The 18,737-nt window shown below is 43.3% G+C and overlaps 1 protein-coding gene across 5 annotated transcripts in view, besides 5 other annotated features; it reads left to right on the top strand.

The window, feature by feature from the left end:
• Positions 5,399–6,021: an enhancer, noted in NCBI's record as "NANOG-H3K27ac hESC enhancer chr8:66546245-66546867 (GRCh37/hg19 assembly coordinates)". NCBI's record gives its function as "activates a minimal SCP1, AML or CMV promoter by ChIP-STARR-seq in primed H9 embryonic stem cells {active_cell/tissue: H9 hESC(primed)}" and the evidence as "EXISTENCE:reporter gene assay evidence [ECO:0000049][PMID:30033119]".
• Positions 5,399–6,213: a biological region, named in NCBI's record as "NANOG-H3K27ac hESC enhancer GRCh37_chr8:66546245-66546867".
• Positions 5,514–5,573: an enhancer, noted in NCBI's record as "active region_27460". NCBI's record gives its function as "activates an Ori minimal core promoter by ATAC-STARR-seq in GM12878 lymphoblastoid cells {active_cell/tissue: GM12878}" and the evidence as "EXISTENCE:reporter gene assay evidence [ECO:0000049][PMID:35858748]".
• The window catches only part of ARMC1 (armadillo repeat containing 1), a 31,720-nt gene continuing 18,836 nt past the window's right edge, over positions 5,854–18,737 (top strand). For 3 of the 5 annotated variants that reach the window (NM_001286702.2, XM_005251264.3, NM_018120.6), the window contains exons 1-3: positions 5,854–6,033; positions 12,598–12,815; positions 17,677–17,768. In NM_001286702.2, coding sequence (NP_001273631.1) covers positions 12,749–12,815; positions 17,677–17,768 — 159 coding nt within the window. In that variant the 5' untranslated portion in view covers positions 5,854–6,033; positions 12,598–12,748. Of the gene's footprint in view, positions 6,034–6,105; positions 7,134–12,597; positions 12,816–17,676; positions 17,769–18,737 lie in introns of those variants that run through there. The other 2 variants (XM_047421927.1, XM_047421926.1) reach the window with 2 other exon arrangements.
• Positions 5,904–5,953: an enhancer, noted in NCBI's record as "active region_27459". NCBI's record gives its function as "activates an Ori minimal core promoter by ATAC-STARR-seq in GM12878 lymphoblastoid cells {active_cell/tissue: GM12878}" and the evidence as "EXISTENCE:reporter gene assay evidence [ECO:0000049][PMID:35858748]".
• Positions 5,964–6,213: an enhancer, noted in NCBI's record as "active region_27458". NCBI's record gives its function as "activates an Ori minimal core promoter by ATAC-STARR-seq in GM12878 lymphoblastoid cells {active_cell/tissue: GM12878}" and the evidence as "EXISTENCE:reporter gene assay evidence [ECO:0000049][PMID:35858748]".

The following is an 18,737-nucleotide window of genomic DNA, read 5'->3' as shown; positions in this document are numbered from 1 at the left end:
GAATCACTTGAACCCAGGAGGCGGAGGTTGCAGTGAGCCAAGATTGCGCCATTGCACTCCAGCCCAGGGGGCCTTGCAAGACACTGTCTTAAAAAAAAAAAAAGAAAAAAGAAAAAATATACATAAGGTAGCCAGGTGTGGTGGTGTGCATCTGTAGTCACAGCTACTCAGGAGGCTGAGGTAGGAGGATCACCTGAGCCTGGGGAGGTTGAGGCTGCCGTGAGCCCTGATCTCAACATTGCACTCCATCCTGGGTGACAGAATGAGACTCTGTCTCAAAAATTAAATTAAGTTAAATTAAATAAATAAAATTAAATACAAATGACACATTAGATAATTAATACAATTTATGTTTCCTCCACAAGATCAGTGGCTCTCAAATTTCACAATGGAGCTGTTTAAAACTATGTATGCCCAGGCCTCTACATCTGCAGGTCTATTCGGCAGAACTATGATTGTTCTGCATAGCTAGCTTTGGAAACAAATGTGGAAGATTAGAGGGCAATCCATTTGGGGATGTGAGAAGAAAATAGAATACTTTTCTTTTTAGTGTATTTGATCCTAGAGTTCTTGACCCAAGTTAAGGGCTCAGTTTTCTTGGCAGAATCTGGAATAACTGAAACTTCGTCTGCCATTTGCAGTTTTTATTGAATAGAAGAGAAAGAAACAGAGCTCTCTTACTCACTGTATGGCCTTGAAAAAGTCCCTTATCTTTTTTGGGCCTCCGAATTCTGAGTAGGAAATTAAAGGATTATAAATGCCATTATTTAGGCAAATAGATTTATTCATTGTTAGATGTATTAGGCAAAAGAAAGGTGACCAAGGCTGATTGTGAGCTTCCTTCATCATAGAGATTTAACAAAATATCAGATTCCCATTAATATTGGTAGACAATGAAGCAGTATACTGTAGTAGAAAGAATATGGGCTTCAGAGGCAGACAGACCCTTGTTGGAAATATGCCTCTGCTAATGACTAGTAGTGTGGTCTTGAGCAAGACAGTCAGCCTTCCAGGGTCTCAATTTCTTGGCTTTCACAGTGGCAGTAGTAGACGGCTCAAAGAGTAGCCTTGAGGACCGATTATGTAACATTTGTCAAATGCTCAAGGGAGTGCCTGGTTTAGCTCAAGGGCCCAATAAATAATAACCATGTAGGATATATAGTCAGCTTGGGTGGTTGCGATCCAGTGGTTAGTAAAGTAGGAACAGACCAATGTCTATGTCAGCCTGTTTCTCATATAAGGCTTAATGACAGCCCCATTTGTTGAGACAGGTTGAATAATCTGCAAAGCTTACAAAGGATCTTTCCTGGAAGTTGAGACCCTTTTCCTCTAGTTCTGTTTTTTCTTTCCCCAGCTCTAATTGCCCCCTGGAGAAAATGTAACACACTGAAATAAGCTTCAGGAGGTTCTGCATTAGAATATAGGAATGGATGGTAAAAGATTATTGGGTAGGACGGTGAAGTGCCCTTCTGAAGGGTGCTTTGAGACACAGTGAGGCTAGATGTGTCTGGGAGAGGCTGGGCTACAGGAGAGCTGGTCAAGACCAGTTAGTGGGCCAACTTCATCTCACCTGAGGCAAGAGTCAGTGATGCATGCAGTGCCCATTGACTTCAAAGCTCCTTTAATTACTAATAAAAGCACATATTGGGCTGGGCGAGGTGGCTCACGCCTGTAAAATCCCAGCACTTTGGGAGGCCGAGGCGGGCAGATCACCTGAGGTCAGGAGTTTGAGACCAGCTTGGCCAATATGGTGAAACCCCATTCCTATTGAAAATGTAAAAAGTAGCCAGGTGTGGTGGTGCATGCCGTAATCCCAGCTACTCGGGAGGCTGAGGCAGTAGAATCACTTGAATCCAGAATGCAGAGGTTGCAGTAAGCCGTGATCACACCACTGCACTCCAGTGCACTCCAGCCTGGGCGACAGAGCAAGACTCCATCTCAAAGAAGAAAAAAAAAAAGCACATATTGTTGGGAAAAGATAACATTTTAATCTGCATTTATTATCTAAATCTCAATTTGAATGAATGTTTTTACCATGGTGCCCAATGAAAAATTGTTGAGCTATTTTGTTTCAGTCATAGACTTTGGGGCATATTTGGTTGTTCTGAGTCTTGAAACAGTTTAATTCTTCTTAGATCAGTGCATAGTGACCAGAAAAAAAAAAATCTATATCCAAATAGGTTAAAGGATCACCACTTTCCAGAGATTGTGGTATTCTTTTCTATAAACCAGCTCTTGGGATTGACCCTGACCTATAGAGCTGTTTTTCTTTTTTTGAGACAGAGTCTCGCTCTGCTACCCAGGCTGGAGTGCGATGGTGTGATCTCTGCTCACTGCAACCTCTGCCTCCCGGGTTCAAGTGATTCTCCTGCCTCAGCCTCCCAAGTAGCTGGGACTGCAGGCGTGTGCCACCATGCCTGGCTAATTTTTGTATTTTTAGCAGAGACGGGGTTTGGCCATTGTCGGCCAGGCTTGTCTGGAACTCCTGACCTCAAGTGATCCACCCACCTCGGCCTCCCAAAGTGCTGGAATTACAGGTGTGAGCCGCCACGCCTGGCCAGCTGCTTTTTAAAACAAGTCCAATGTATCCATTTTTTTTCTTGTTTAACTTTTGGGTTTCCAGTTTTGTTCAAGGTTTCCCTCTGCTTCTAGGTCATATATGTAGTCTTCAAGGTTTGAGTTTTTAATACACCTGGAATTTATTTTTTTGGTAAATGATGTAATATATGGATCCAATTTTATTTTCATCTGGATGGGTAGTGAGAGCTTCAATTTATAAATATTTCTCTTTCTTTAAAAATTTCTACTTTGACATTTTCAAAACTACATATTAATTTGATAGTACATGTATAGAATTTAGGAATAAATACATATAAATATGTCAGAGCTATGTACTCGAATACATATATATAAAGCTGAAAGTGTTGCCTGATCAAAAAGTTTTGAAATCCACTGTTTCTTGAGCTCTTTAGACCATGAGCTGCTTGAGGGCAGGGATTGTGATTTTCCTTACCTTTGAATCCATAGTCAAGATTGTCTATGGCACATTGTATGCGTTCAAAAACCGGTTGTTAAATAATTAAATGAATGAAACTGCCAGTATCTGAATCATGTCTTAAGCAACACAGCTACTGAGAAACGACATTCCAGTGTCCCGTGGGAAGATACCTGAGGCTAAGAACAAGCAATGACTCACAATGGGAGGTAGTATAACTTCACTGGTGTCAAGCTTAGACATTTTTTATTTTTTTGAGACGGAGTCTCGCTCTGTCGCCCAGGCTGGAGTGCAGTGGTGCGATCTCGGTTCACTGCAAGCTCCGCCTCCCGGGTTCACGCCATTCTCCTGCCTCAGCCTCCAGCTGGGACTACAGGCGCCTGCTACCACGACCGGCTAATTTTTTTTTTTTTTTGTATTTTTAGTAGAGACGGGGTTTCACCGTGTTAGCCAGGATGGTCTCCATCTCCTGATCTTGTGATCCGCCCGCCTCGGCCTCCCAAAGTGTTGGGATTACAGGCTTGAGCCACCACGCCCGGCCAAGTTTAGACATTTTAATATGGGAATACAGATTATTAAAATCTTTAAATACCTCCCTAAGGCTTATAATCCATAGGTGCTTAGGAAACTGGTAATTATTTTTTTGTGAACACACCCCCTGCTTCTTAATAGCAGTCATCTATTCTGTAATGGCAGTGTGCAGGAAGAATTACTTTTCTCAATAATGGCAGAAGCATGATTATATTTAGTATTTATTTATTTATTTATTTTGAGACGGAGACTCGCTCTGTCTCCCAGACTGGAGTGCAGTGGCACGACCTCGGCTTAGAACCTCCGCCTCATGGGTTCAAGCAATTCCCCTGCCTCAGCCTCCGGAGTAGCTGGGACTACAGGCGCCCGCCACCACGCCAGGCTAATTTTTTGTATTTTTAGTAGGGACGGCTGACCGGGCGCGGTGGCTCACGCCTGTAACCCCAGCACTTTGGGAGGCCGAGGCGGGCGGATCACCTGAGGTCAGGAGATAGAGGCCAGCCTGACCAACATGGAGAAACTCCGTCTCTACTAAAAATACAAAAATTAGCCGGGCGTGGTGGCGCATGCCTGTAATTAGGGAGGCGGAGGTTGCGGTGAGCCGAGATTGCGCCATTGTACTCCAGCCTGGGCAGGAAGATAGAAATTCTGTCTCAAAAAAAAAAAAAAAAAAAAAGTAGAGACGGGGTTTCACCATGTTGGCCAGGCTAGTCTCGAACTCCTGAACTCAGGTGATCCACCCACCTCGGCCTCCCAAAGTGCTGGGATTACAGGCGTGAGCCCCCGTACCTGCCTTCCTAATATATTAACGTTAACAAAAATAGCAAGTTTAATTTCCTGGGATTTTTTTTTAGTTGTTTTTAATAACTATACTGAAGAAAGTAACTCAACCAAATGGGTTATGTTTAACCTGGCTGTGCCCTTTGGACTTTTTTTTTTTTTTTTTTTAGACCGTCTCGCTCTGTTGCCCACGCTGGAGTGCAGTGGCGTGATCTCGGCTAACTGCAATCTCAGCCTCCCAGGTTCAATCGATTCTCCTGCCTCAGCCTCCCAAGTAGCTGGGATTACAGGCGCCCGCAACGACGCCTGGTTAGTTTTGTTTGTTTGTTGGTTGGTTTTTAGTAGAGACAGAGTTTCACCATGTTGGCCAAGCTGGTGTCGAAATCCTGACCTCAAGTGATCCGCCCACCTCGGCCTCCCAAAGTGCTGGGATTACACGCGTGAGCCACCGCACCCGGCCTATTTGTTTTCTACTTAGCTTATTTTGCTCCTATTTTGAGTTCATTGGAAGCAAGAGGATAACCGAGAACAAGGGAACGGAAAGAAATTCAAGAAGTAGCTGCTTGGTTTTTAAATTCAAGAAGTATAGGAGATATTAGCATTGAATACAATCTGGGATATTTATTGTTATCCACACTCTTTTCCTATTAGAGGCCTCTCATATTCCTTCTGACTTTAATACATGAGCTACGTGGCCGAATCAAACTGTTATGGAGAGAATCCAGAATCTGTTTATTGGGGTTATTGACTGCAATGGATACATTATTCTCAAAGATCTGCCTGCGGGTTAAGAGTAGGTTTGTATTTAAAGAAATTAAAAAAAAAATAAAATCTATGCCTAAACAAAAACTTCAAGTGATTGCCATCCATAAAACAAGTATATAAATCCTTACTTTGATAAACTACATAGAAGATATTTTAAAATATGAATTTGAGAAGATTGTGATAATAAATTCCTTACAAGAAAAAAAAAAAAACCTCTTCCCCAAAATAAATTGCTACTTAAACGAAAACTGTACTTTGCGTCTTTCAAGCTGCTAGGGAGACAGTGGACACCAAGAAGAAATAAACGAAAATCCAAGGAACGCCTAATGTAGTGCTAACGTCCACAGTAAAACACAAAACAAAAAAAATTTATGAATTAAGACTCACAGAAGCGAATAAAATATTAGGTATTGCCTTTATTAGAATTGCAAGAGTTGCTAAAGAAATACTCAATTTGAATTACCGAATGCAGGACCGGAGAAGTCCTGCTGGCCCCACAAAGCTGGGTATTGAGGTTGTGAAGGTGTGACAGTTTCCCAGCCGGAATCAAATTTCTTCGGTTAGGGCTTGGTGGACGGCGAGTAGTTAGGGCCAATATAGTGTTCCTGGGTCCTCATTGGATCAGTCCCTTGACTCTTAGTGTATTTCCCTAAACCACCTATGAGCGCTTCACTCTAAAAAGACCTTCACTGATTGGATACTTTATCCTCACGTTGGACTCATTATCAGCCAATAGGAGGGCATAAGCGACAGAGGCGTCAGGTCACCTGGGAAGAGTCTGCAGAGCCTTTGCCCGCCAGCGCCTTCGCTCTTTGGCTCCCTGAGTTAGTCCGGTTGCTTGCGATCGCCGCGGCCGGGGCTGCGAACCGAAGGGCTCGCTCCGCGCCGCCTGGGTCTCTACCTCATCCGTAGGTGTGGCCCTGATGGTGTGGCAGGCTCTGGACTCCTAAAGCTCTGGAGCGGTATGTGGGGTCCACGGGCGGCAGACAAAGCAGTGGAGCCGGGAAGGCCGCGGGAAGCGGCCCCTGTACCGAGGCAGCGAATCCGCCTGGGAGGGGCGCCCCGCCTGCCTCTTGTCAGATCCAGTAGTGGGTCCCAGTGAGGCGCTTTAGCACGCTCTACCCCCACGTGTCCCGTGAATCTGTTAGCTTTGCTCATTTCTTCTTTGTCCCCCCTCACATCTGACTTTTACTAACCCCAGTATTATTAATGGGTGTCATCTCATCTTTTCATCTCTCCAGGTTATTCTTTGGTAACTTTCTGTTAGTTTTGTGCACCTGCGTGTCTCCTAAGAGCGGAAAGACATAGTTGTGTTAGGCTTAATTCAAGAGAGACCAGTGTTCCCATTTTTATATTTAAGACTGTGTTTTGGGAGGGCGGGGGTAGGTATTCGTGCAGTTAGCAACTCCTTTCGTGATACTTAGTGCACTGAAGTGTCAGGGCAGTGCAGAAGGTACCTCCAACACCTGGCAGGACAGATGTCCCCACATGAGCAAGTAGTATTCTGGTTTGGTAATTGCTGGTGTTTGATTTTACCATTTCGCGTTCTTACTTTAATCTGATAACCGCTGAGGATTGTTATGTGAGATAACTGAGGCTCTAAGAACTTAACTTCTCAAAGTTACAGTTAACTCTTCGAGTAAGGGGAAAGTCAGATTTAATATCAATGCTTATGTTATTTTTATCAAAGCCCACCTAACTGAATAAGGATTTAGGTTAAACGTATTCCCTCTGCATCTCTTGGCATGTGAGAATTAAATCTTTGAATTGAATGGTGAATCTTGACTGTACGAGAAGGAAAAATCTTGCAGGCATCTGCCTAATTACAGGTGTCTCACATGTATCTTCTAACTGCTTGCTTCTCAGAGTGTGACAAGTAGCATAGGCCTCACCTGGAAGCTTGTTGGAAATGCGGAATCTCAGACTCTCCCACCTACTGAATCAGCATTTGCTTTTTAACAGGAACCTTTAACTGACCAGAGTGCTCATTAAACGATGAGAAGTATTCTTTGTCATAGAATGATTTGTTTGTCCAAGTTGAACTAAACAAGAGAAAGTAAAGGTATAAAAAGTCTTTTCACATTTTCATCATTTGTTAGTGAGGCTATGGTCTTTATTTTTTATTTTTTTTTTTGAGACGGAGTATCGCTCTGTCGCTCAGGCTGGAGTTCAGTGATGCGATCCCGGCTCACTGCAACCTCCGCCTCCCGGGTTCAAGCGATTCTCCTGCCTCAACCCCTGGAGTACCAGAGGCCTTGGCCTCCCGAAGTGCTGGGATTACAGGCGTGAGCCACTGTGCCCGGCGTCTTGTAGAGTTTTATTTTATTATTACTATTATTATTATTTTGAGACGGTATCTCGCTCTGTTGCCCAGGCTGGAGTGCAGTGGCACAATCTCGGCTCACTGCAAGTTCCGCCTCCCGGTTTCACGCCATTCTCCTGACCCAGCCTCCCGAGTAGCTGGGACTACAGGTGCCCCCCACCACGCCTGGCTAATATTTTGTATTTTTAGTAGAGACGGGGTTTTACTGTGTGAGCCAGGATGGTCTCAATCACCTGACCTCGTAATCCGCTCGCCTCGGCCTCCCAAATTTTATTATTATTATTATTATTTTGAGATGAGCTGTCACTCTGTCGAGCTCCCAGGCTCAGGTGATCCTCCCACCTCAGCTTTTGTATTTTTAGTAGAGATGGGGTTTTGCCATGTTGCCCAGGCTGGTCTTGAACTTCTAGGCTCAAGAGATCCACCCCCCTGGGCCTCCCAAAGTGCTTGGATTACCGGCCTGAGCCATGGTACCTGGCCATCTTACAGAGTTTTAGAGCTTAGCATTTTATTCATATGTTCATAGCCATGTTTAAAAGAGATGCATTTATACAGCAGCATAAAGTTTTAGTGGCTCTGCCACTGCCATCCAGCCTGGGCAACAGAGCGAGACCCTATCTTAAAAATAAAATAAAAATTATTTTGCACTTTGCCAAATTGGGCATATAGTGGGTAGGATAGACTGAATCCTGAAATATTCATTTAAAATCATTTTTTCCAACCTATGAAGATAGACTTTTTTTTTTTTTTTTTAAGAGACAGGGTCTTGCTATGTTGTCCATGCTGTAGTAAAGTGGCTGTTCACAGGCAAGATCATAGCACACTGTAGACTTGAACTCTGGCCTCAACCAGTCTCCTGCCTCAGCCTCCTGAGTTACTGCACCCAGCAAAGGCGGACATTTTTATCAAACAGCTTGAGTGTGTGAAGTTGATGAAATTAACACAGAAACATAATATGTATCTAATACATGATTGGGGTTAGAGTTGTAACTTTCGTTTATCTGTTTTCAGTTTCCTAACTGTTCTATTGCTATCTCATAAAATCTGCTTTGTGAACGCTGCAATCCACAGAAATATTGATCATTTAACAGAATTCAAGCAATGGCCAGGCGTGGTGGCTCACGCCTGTAATCCCAGCACTTTGGGAGGCCGAGGAGGGTGGGTCACCTGAGGTCAGGAGTTCAAGACCAGCCTGGCCAACACGGCGAAACCCCGTCTCTACTAAAAATAAAAAATTAGCCGGGCATGGTGGCAGGCACCTGTAGTCCCAGCTACTTGGGAGGTTGAGGCAGGAGAATTGCTTGAACCTGAGAGGCAGAGGTTGTGATAAGCCGAAATCGTACCACGCCACTCCAGCCTGGGTGACAGAGTGAGACCCTGTTCCCCCCCAAAAATTCAGGCAATGTGGTAGTTAGAAATGGATGTCAGAGTAACTTGTTATCATCAAGAATATCAAGGTAAGAAAAATGAGTCTTAACTGTGAGGAGTTCTCTCCTGAAGTTTTACATAAAACCCTTCTAATTTGAGGGACAAATCACAGCTTCTGTCAGCTTTTCTTGCCTTCCTTTAAATGCCATGGGAAATGCAGTGACCACAGTTTCTGCCTCTGTTATACAGTAAACCCATGACATTGTCTGATTCAACCAAGCATGAATCGAAAATACTGTACAATAGTCTCAGGATTTGAAACCTGTGGATACAGAGCACCAACTGCATTAGCTAAGGTCTTTGATGGATCCTGTGCAGATGCTGATTTGAGCCCAATCCTTATCAGTGCTCTTTGAAGACTGGAAGGTTTTTTGTTTGTATTTTTTTTTTTAGACGGAGTCTGGCACTGTTGCCCAGGCTGGAGTGCAATGGCACTATCTCGGCTCACTGCAACCTCCGCCTCCCGGGTTCAAGCGATTCTCCTGCCTCAGCTTCCCAAGTAGCTGAGATTACAGGCACCTACCACCATGCCCAGCTAATTTTTGTATTTTTAGTAGAGACGGAGTTTCACCATGCTGGCCAGGCTGGTCGCAAACTCCTGACCTCAGGCGATCCGGCTGCATTGGCCTCCCAAAGTGTTGGGATTACAGGCGTGAGCCACTGCGCCTGGCTGAAGATTGGAAGTTTTAGTTGTTTTGATTTTTATTCATCCCAAAGGAACAGGAAAGCTATGTAACTTTTTTTCAGTATAGTTCCTACTGAATAGTTATCTAATGGCTCCTTGAATGAGAATGGAACTCTTCAGTTTCAAGGCCAGCGTTGTATGCAAAAGGCCAACACCCAGAGTGTTTGGTTCTTTTTTCCCTGATTTATTTTAAAACATTTTATTGTAAATTGGTAATTTATAGTTGTATATATTTATGGGGTACAAAATGATGTTATGATTCATGAATATAAAGTGGAGCAATTAAATCAAGCTAGTTAACATATCTATCACCTTATACTTATTTTTTGTGGTGAGACCACTTGAAATTTACTCACAGCGATTTTTTTCTGTTTTGCTTTTGAGACAGTCTAGCTCTGTCACCCAGGCTGGAGTGCAGTGGCACAATCTCGGCTCACTGCAACCTCCACCTCCCGAGTTCAAGCAGTTCTCTGGCCTCAGCCTCCCAAGTAGCTGGGATTCCAGGTTTGCGCCACCATGCCCGGCTAATTTTTGTATTTTTAGTAGAGATGACGTTTCACCATATTGGTCAGACTGGTCTCAAACTCCTGACTTCAGGTGATCCACCCGCTTTGTCCTCCCAAAGTGCTGGGATTACAGGCATAAGTCACCACCCCTGGCAACTCATAGCCATTTTAAGACCGAGAATATACTGTTTTGTTTTGATTTTTTTTTTTTTTTTTTTTGAGACGGAGTCTTGCTCTGTTGCCCAGGCTGGAGTGCAGTGGTACAATCTCGGCTCACTGTAACCTCCATCTCCCAAGTTCAAGCGATTCTCCTGCCTCAGCCTCCCGAGTAGCTGGGATTACAGGCGCCCGCCAGCACGCCCAGCTAATTTTTGTACTTTTAGTAGAGACGGGGTTTCACCACGATGGTCAGGCTGGTCTTGAACTCCTGACCTCATGATCCGCCTGCCTTGGCCTCCCAAAGTGCTGGGATTATAGGTGTGAGCCACCGCGCCCATCTGGAATACACTATTATTAACTATATTCACCATCTTGTGCAATAGATGTCAAAAAAACCCTCACTTATTCCTACTACGACTTTGTATCCCTTGATCCTCATCTCCTCATTTTGCCTATCTGCCAGCCTTTTACCACCATTCTGTTCTCTGCTGCTGAGTTCTATTGTTTTAGATTCAACAGTTAAGCAACAATATGCAGCATTTCTCTTTCTGTGCCTAGTTTACTTCATTTAGCACAATGTTCTCCAGTTCTGTCCATGTTGTCACAAGTGACAGAATTTCCTTCTTTTTTAAGGGTGAATAGTATTCCATTTGTGTCATTGTGTATGTATATCACATTTTCTTTCTTTCTTTTTTTTTTTTTTTGAGATGGAGTCTCGCCCTGTCATCCAGGCTGTAGTGCAATGGCGCAATCTCGGCTCACTGCAACCTCCGCTTCCCAGGTTCAGTCAGTTCTCCCTGCCTCAGCCTCCTGAGTAGCTGAGATTACAGGCACCCACCACCAAGCCCAGCTAATTTTTGTATTTTTAGTAGAGACAGGGTTTCACCATGTTGACCAGGCTGGTCTTGAACTCCTGACATCAGGTGATCCACCCGCCTTGGCCTCCCAAAGTGCTGGGATTACAGGCGTGAGCCACTGCACCCGGCCGATATGCTGATTTTTTTTGTTTGCTTGTTTTGAGACAGAGTTTTGCTCATGCAGTGGCACAATCTCAGCTCACTGCAATCTCTGCCTCCTGGCTTTAATAAATTCTCCTGCCTCAGCCTCCCGAGTAGCTAGGATTACAGGTGCGTGCCACCATGCCCGGCTAATTTTGTATTTTTAGTAGAGATGGGGTTTCACCATGTTGGCCAGGCTGATCTCGAACTCCTGACCTCAGGAGATCTGCCTGCCTCGGCCTCCCAAAGTGCTGGGATTACAGGCATGAGCCACCATGCCGGGCCAAAATACTGATTTTAAAACGAAAGTATGAGGCTGGACACGGTGGCTCATGCCTGTAATCCCAGCATTTTGGGAGGCCAAGGCGGGCAGATCATTTAAGGTTAGGAGTTTGAGACCAGCCTGACCAACATGGTGAAACCTAGTCTCTACTAAAAATACAAAAAAAAAAAAAAAAAAAAAAAAAAATTAGCCGGGCGTGGCTAGGAGGCTGAGGCAGGAGAATTGCTTGAACCGGGAGGCGGAGGTTGTAGTGAGCTGAGGTTGTGCCACTGCATTCCAGCCTGGGTGACAGAATGCGACTCTGTCTTGGAGAAAACAAACAAAACAAACAAGGAAAACAAAGTATGCAAAGTGGAAAGACTGCTGATGAGTTTAGGAAATAGTAAATAATATTTTAGGCCAGTTCTATGCTAACTAGATTTTGTGATGTGGGGCAAATTATTGAACCTCTCTATGACTAGCTCCTCATCTGGCAAATGAATTATGTCAAATTCTACTTCATTCTTCCTATTTTTGCTTTTCTGTTAGGCAGTAGAATATGGCATAATCAGATGGACAGAGGTATTTAGATTCAGTGTAGATTCACTATGATCTTTCACACTCTACTGGCCTGAGCCACAGGCTAAATACCTTTCCTGTCTTCTTGATTTACAGACTTCTGCCTCCTTTTTCCAAGGGCATTTTATTCTTTGTAGACAGAGTATGCTAGGTTTTTGTTCACTGATGAATAAGAAAGCTGTAAACTAGCCACTTTTCCCTCGGGCACTTGTTTTAGGGCTAGAAATAGTCTAGAGGATAAAAAGCACTGGCAATATTAACAGTTTTAGAAGTATAGCAAAGCTTACTAGCTTGAACTGTAAAGATCTTTATTGTGATTTTATTGTTAAAATATGTGTGCTAAAACATAATTTATTGGAATATTGAGGACAACATATGTTCTTTAAACATTGTGCACACAAATTTTTTCAGTCGTCTTACGTTCATTTTACTTTTCTCAAACTGTAGAGTTGCCGATTTCTAAGTTTTTATGTGATTTAGTTTTAGTTACCTGATTCTTTCTAAAGGTGTTGTAATCCTGGTTATTTCACAAGTGCTATAATATACCTCAGCAGCCTAGAACTAATTCTGCAAACCTTTTCTACAGAATTTAAGATTTTATTCATGTGCATGGCATAGAAGATGAATTCTTCCACTTCCACCATGAGTGAAGAGCCTGACGCTCTATCGGTAGTTAACCAGTTACGGGATCTAGCAGCAGATCCGTTAAACAGAAGAGCCATCGTCCAGGATCAGGGATGTCTGCCTGGCCTTATTTTATTTATGGACCATCCCAACCCTCCAGTCGTCCACTCCGCTTTGCTTGTAAGTTGCCTTTAGTAATTTCAATCTCTGTTCTATTTTTGCAGTTAAGGTGAGAATTTGGAAAAAGTGCTAGATGACAAGGTAAAAAAACGGAAAGAGAGCAATTAGTTGTTTGTATTTATGTAGGTACAAACATATGTATGTGTGGTCTGTGGTCTGTTTACACCAGTGGTAACATGCTACATTGTTTTTATTCTTTATTTTTTTTTTTTTGAGTCATCTAGGCCTGGAGTACACTGTGGCAGGATCTTAGTTCACTGCAATCTCCACCTCCTGGGCTTAAACCATCCCCCCGACCTCAGCCTCCCAAGTAGCTGGGATGATAGGCACACACCACCATGCCAGCCAAATTTTTGATATTTTGTAGAGATAGGGTTTCGCCATGTTGGCCAGGCTCAAACTCCTGAGCTCAAGTGATCCTTCCACTTTGGCCTCCCAAAGTGTTGGAATTACAGCTGTGAGTCACCATGGCCAGCCTTGTTTTTATTCTTTTATACAAATTGTTGCATACTCCATGCATGGAATGTCCTACCACTTCCTTTTCATTTAACAATCTTGAGGATTGGATCATATCATACACAGAGACACTCAAAGAGGCACTTATTTTGTTTTTATTTTATAACAGCTTTTTAAGATGTAAGCACACAGCATCATATAATTCACTCATTTAAAGTATACAATTAAGTGATTTTAGTATATTCACAGAGTTGTGTGTCACCATCACCACAACTTTTTATTTTTATTTATTATAAATAAATTTTTTTTTTTTTTTTTAGTAGAGATAGGATGTAGCTATGTTAACTAGGCTGGTCTCAAACTCCTGGCCTCAAGTGATTCTTCTACCTCGAGCTCTCAAAGTGCTTAGATTACAGATGTGAGCCACTGTGCCCGGCCCACCACAACTTTTTATCTATTGCTTCCCAGACCCCAACACTCCCTGTCCCTAAGCAACTACTAATCTACTTTTTGTATGTCTATATTTGCCTATTCTGGCAAAAATGCCTATATATTTTGCATATAAATAGGGCCAGACGTGGTGGCTCACTCCTGTAATCCTAGCACTTTGGGAGGCCGAGGTGGGTGGATCACCTGAGGTCAGGAGTTTGACACCAGCTTGGCCAACGTAGTGAAACCCTGTCTGTACTAAAAATACAAAACAATTAGCCGGGCGTGGTGGTGGGTGCCTGAAATCCCAGCTACTCAGGAGGCTGAGGCAGGAGAATCCCTTGAACCCAGGAGGCAGAGGTTGCAGTGAGCCAAGATTGTGCCATTGCACTCGAGCCTGGGCAACAAGAGTGAAACTCCGTCTCAAAAAAAAAAAAAAAAAAGTTGTTAAAAAAATTAATGTTTTGGAAATTTTATCTATTGCCCTTTACTTAAGGACTCGTGATGATTCCCCATTTAGTCTAATTTCACAAGTTTGTACAGAAGGCATATAGACTTTTCCTTTTGGAAAAAAATTTCTATTTTGCCTTTACAGAATGAAGTTTAGCAGTCAAAAAAGACATTGGTGTAAGAGAACAGTAGTAACAAATGGGAAAAATGGCACAGTCCCCAGTCTGGGTTCAATTTCAATAAGAAATGCAAGAAGGATGAGAAGAAAGAGGGGGTTGATCTATAGATAGGGACTTGGGGCTAAAGGAAGTAAGTCTTTTTTATTTTTAAATAGACTAGAATATGTCTAAGTTCAGAGGGCAAGGGCTACTAGAATGGGAGAGGTTTGAGGGGAAGGCTCTCATAATTGCAGAAAATAGGAAAGATTTGCTAACTGAGGAGAATGATAAAGTTGTTCAGCAGTGTTGAGGGCTGATTAGTTTGGTAATACTGAATCGATATGATTCAGGCCTGTTGTAGGCTCACAGAGCCAAGTACTTGGATTTGTCTAGAGTTGTTACTTGGCCAGGTTAAGTTGGGCAGAATGATTGTGCAAGGGAGTTTAGGATCTTGGCAGGATTGGTTGAAATGATATACAGTAGATACTAGGCTGAATAGGAAGGGAAGTATAAAGTCATGGAGGGACAGAGCTAAGGAGAGGGATCAGTGAGTGAAAGTTCCCAAGAGGCTGAAGAAAAGATTTTTTTGTTGTTGTTTTTGAGACAGAGTTTTTGCTCTTGCCACCCAGGCTGGAGAGCAATGGCACAATCTTGGCTCACTGCAACCTCCGCCTCCTGGGTTCAAGCGATTCTCCTGCCTCAGCCTTCTGAGTAGCTAGAATTACAGGCCCGCACCATCACATGTGGCTAATTTTTGTATTTTTAGTAGAGACGGTTTTTCACCATGTTGGCCAGGCTAGTCTCGAACTCATGACCTCAGGTGATCTGCCTGTCTTGGCCTCTCAAAGTGCTGAAATTACAGGTGTGAGCCACCATGCCTGGCCATTGGGTGTGTTGTTTTTATGATTTCCTTTTTTCGTCACTGTTAGCTTATTAGTATACACTTTTGTTTTTATTTTAATTTATTTAGTGGTTGCTGTAGGTTTTACAATATGCATCTTTAACTTCTTACAGCCTACCTTTAAATGAATCATACCCTTAACATGTAGTGTAAGAATCACACAAGAGTATATTTCCATTTCTTTCTCCCATCTTTTGTGCTATTTTTGTCATACATTTTACTTCTACATATGTTTAAAAACCTACAGTGTATATATTTTTGCCTTAAACAGTCAATTATCTTTTAAAGAGATTAAAAATTTAAAAATGTCTTTTTTTTTTTTTGAGATGGAGTCTTGCTCTGTCACCTAGGCTGGAGTGCAGTGGCGCAATCTCAGCTCACTGCAACCTCTGCCTCCCGGGTTCAAATGATTCTTCTGCCTCAGCCTCCCTAGCAGCTGAGATTACAGGTGCATGTCAGCATGCCTGGCTAATTTTTGTATTTTTAGTAGAGACAGGGTTTCGCCATGTTGGCCAGGCTGGTCTTGAACTCCTGAGTTCAGGTGATCTGCCCCCCTCAGCTTCCCAAGGTACTGAGATTATAGGCGTGAGCCACCATGCCTAGCAAAAAAAGGTCTTTTATATTTACCTTCATTTTTACATTTCTGGTGTTCTTTATTCCCCAATATAGATTCATTTTTGTTTTTTTGGGTTTTGTTTTCGTTTTTGTTTTGAAACAGGGTCTTGGCTGGGCGTGGTGGCTCATGCCTGTAATCCAAGCACTTTGGGAGGCCGAGGCAGGTGGATCACCTGAGGTCAGGAGTTCAAGACCAGCCTGGCCAACATGGCAAAAACCCATCATTACTAAAAATACAAAAATTAGCCAGGCGTGGTGGCTGGCACCTATAATCCCAGCTACTCAGGAGGCTGAGGCAAGAGAATCGCTTGAACTCGGGGGGTGGAGGTTGCAGTAGGCCGAGTTTGTGCCACTTCACTCCAGCCTGGGCGAAAGAACAAAAACTCCATCACACCAAAAAAAAAAAAAAAAAAAAAAAAAGATTTTACTTTGTTGTCTTCTGGCATGTACGGTTTCTAATAAGAAAACTGCCGTAATTCTTGTTCTTACCTTATATAATGCCTTTTTCTGGCTTCTTCTGGAACTTTATTAGTGATTTTCAGCAAATAATTATGATGTCTTTGATATGGATGGTGGTTTTTTTTGGTTGTTTTGTTTTTGAGATGCAGTCTTGCTCTGTCGCCCAGGCTGGAGTGCAGTGTGTGATCTCGGCTCACTGCAACCTCCGCCTCCTGGGTTCAAGCGATTCTCCTGCCTCAGTCTCCCGAGTAGCTGGGATTACAGGTGCGTGCCATCATGCCCGGCTAATTTTTGTATTTTTAGTAGAAACGGGGTTTTGCCATGTTGGCCAGGCTGGTCTCGAACTCCTGACCTTAAGTGATCGGCCTGCCTTGGCCTCCCAAAGTGCTGGGATTACAGCCGTGAGCCACTCAGCGCCCAGCATTTTTTTTTTTTTTTTTGAGACGGAGTCTTGCTCTGTCGCCCAGGCTGGAGTGCGGCAGCACGATCTCGGCTCACTGCAACCTCCGCCTCCCCGGTTCAAGCAATTCTCCTGCCTCAGCCTCCTGAGTAGCTGGGATTACAGGCACCTGCCACCATGCCCAGCTAATTTTTGTATTTTTAGTAGAGATGGGGTTTCACCATGTTGGTCAGGCTGGTCTCGAACCCCTGACCTCGTGACCCACCCGCCTTGGCCTCCTAAAGTGCTGAGATTACAGGCGTGAGCCACTGCGCCCAGCCTTTTTTTTTTTTTTTAATTTTTTTTGAGATGGAGTCTCGCTGTTGCCATGCTGGAGTGCAGTGGCGTGATCTCAGCTCACTGCAACCTCCGCCTCCCGTGTTCAAGCAATTCTGCTCCCTCAGCCTTCCAAGTAGCTGGGACTACAGGCACATGCTACCACATCCAGCTAATTTTTGTATTTTTAGTAGAGGTGAGGTTTCACCATGTTGGCCAGGATGGTCTTGATCTGCCCACCTCAGCCTCCCAAAGTGCTGGGATTATAGGTGTGAGCCACTGTGCCCACGTCGTTCCCCCCGCCACCTTTTTTTTTTCTTTTGAGGCACAGTAACTCTGTCATTCAGGTTGGAGTGCAATGGCGCAATCACAGCTCACTTCCCCACTAAATGGAATATAGTTCCATCCCTGTGAAGTGGTGAAAGTAAAACCAGAACAACCTAATTTTGACCTTGTGACTAAGTTAGGAACCTTCATTTCGAAGAGTAGATCAGCTACTACAGCTCAAAGGATCATTTCTTCCCTAGGGAATAATTCTGAATCATCTCATTTAAAGGATTTTATTCTAAAAACAAAAACCTATTTTCTCCTTTTTTGTTTTCTTGCAGTAAATTAGTAGTAGTTTCAATTTTGAATAGTCTGGACAGACGAATTAACTTATTACTTCTTCTGCTGTAGGCTCTTCGATACTTGGCAGAATGCCGTGCAAACAGAGAAAAGATGAAAGGAGAACTGGGTATGATGTTGAGCTTACAAAATGTTATACAGAAGTAAGTACAATAGACAGTGTCTCATTTATTTATATACTTACTTATATTACTTACTTACAGGGCCTCACTATGTTGCCCATGCTGGGTTCAAGCGATCCTTCCACCTTGGCTTTCCAAAGTGCTGGAATTATAGGCATGATTACTACTATTATTGGATTACTATGTTTTAATGTCCTGTAGTTAACTGTTTTTAATCATTTAGCTGGCTGAGGGAGGAGAACCGCTGGAACCCCGGAGGTGGAGGTTGCAGTGAGCCGAGATCGTGCCATTGCGCTCTAGCCTGGGCGACAGAACAAGATTCCATCTCAAAAAAAAAAAAATTTCAATTTTAGGTAGAGAAAAATTACAAATTAGTCAAGAAGTAATTTATTACTGTAGGAAAATGGTAAAACTGTGGAACTATAAAATAAGAAAGTTAAGATGGTGCTGGTAGAGGCATTTAATATTTCATACATGCTGGGCATGGTGGCTCATGCCTGAAATCCCAGCAATTTGGGAGGCCAAGGCAGACGGATCACTTGTGGCCAGGAGTTCAAGACCAGCGTGGCCAACGTGGTGAAATCTCGTTTCTAGTAAAAATACAAAAATTAGCCTGGTGTGGTGGCACGTGCCTGTAATCCCAGCTACTCGGGAGGCTGAGGCAGGAGAATCACTTGAACCTGGGAGGTGGAGATTGCAGTGAGGTGAGATCCCACCACTGCACTCTAGCCTGGGCAACAGAGCGAGACTGTGTCTCAAAAAATAAAATTTATATAACCATGGTTGCTGATCTCTCATCTGTAACTGCTTTGTTTATCTAAGTAGACAGAAGCTTGTGTGACTTTGTAATATAATTTTGTAGTAAATTCTTAAGTTTATAATTAAAATAGTGTGAGTAGCCTCAGTAGCTATACTGGCAATCATAAGCATGCATACCCCCACTTTGCACATTGTTAATATGAATATGAATACTTGGCTATTTCTCCCCTC

Source organism: Homo sapiens, chromosome 8, assembly GCF_000001405.40.
Source record: "Homo sapiens chromosome 8, GRCh38.p14 Primary Assembly".
In the NCBI taxonomy this organism is placed as follows: Eukaryota; Metazoa; Chordata; class Mammalia; order Primates; family Hominidae; genus Homo; species Homo sapiens.
Note: the sequence above shows the minus strand (reverse complement) of the source record. Positions and strands in the feature narration are given on the sequence as shown.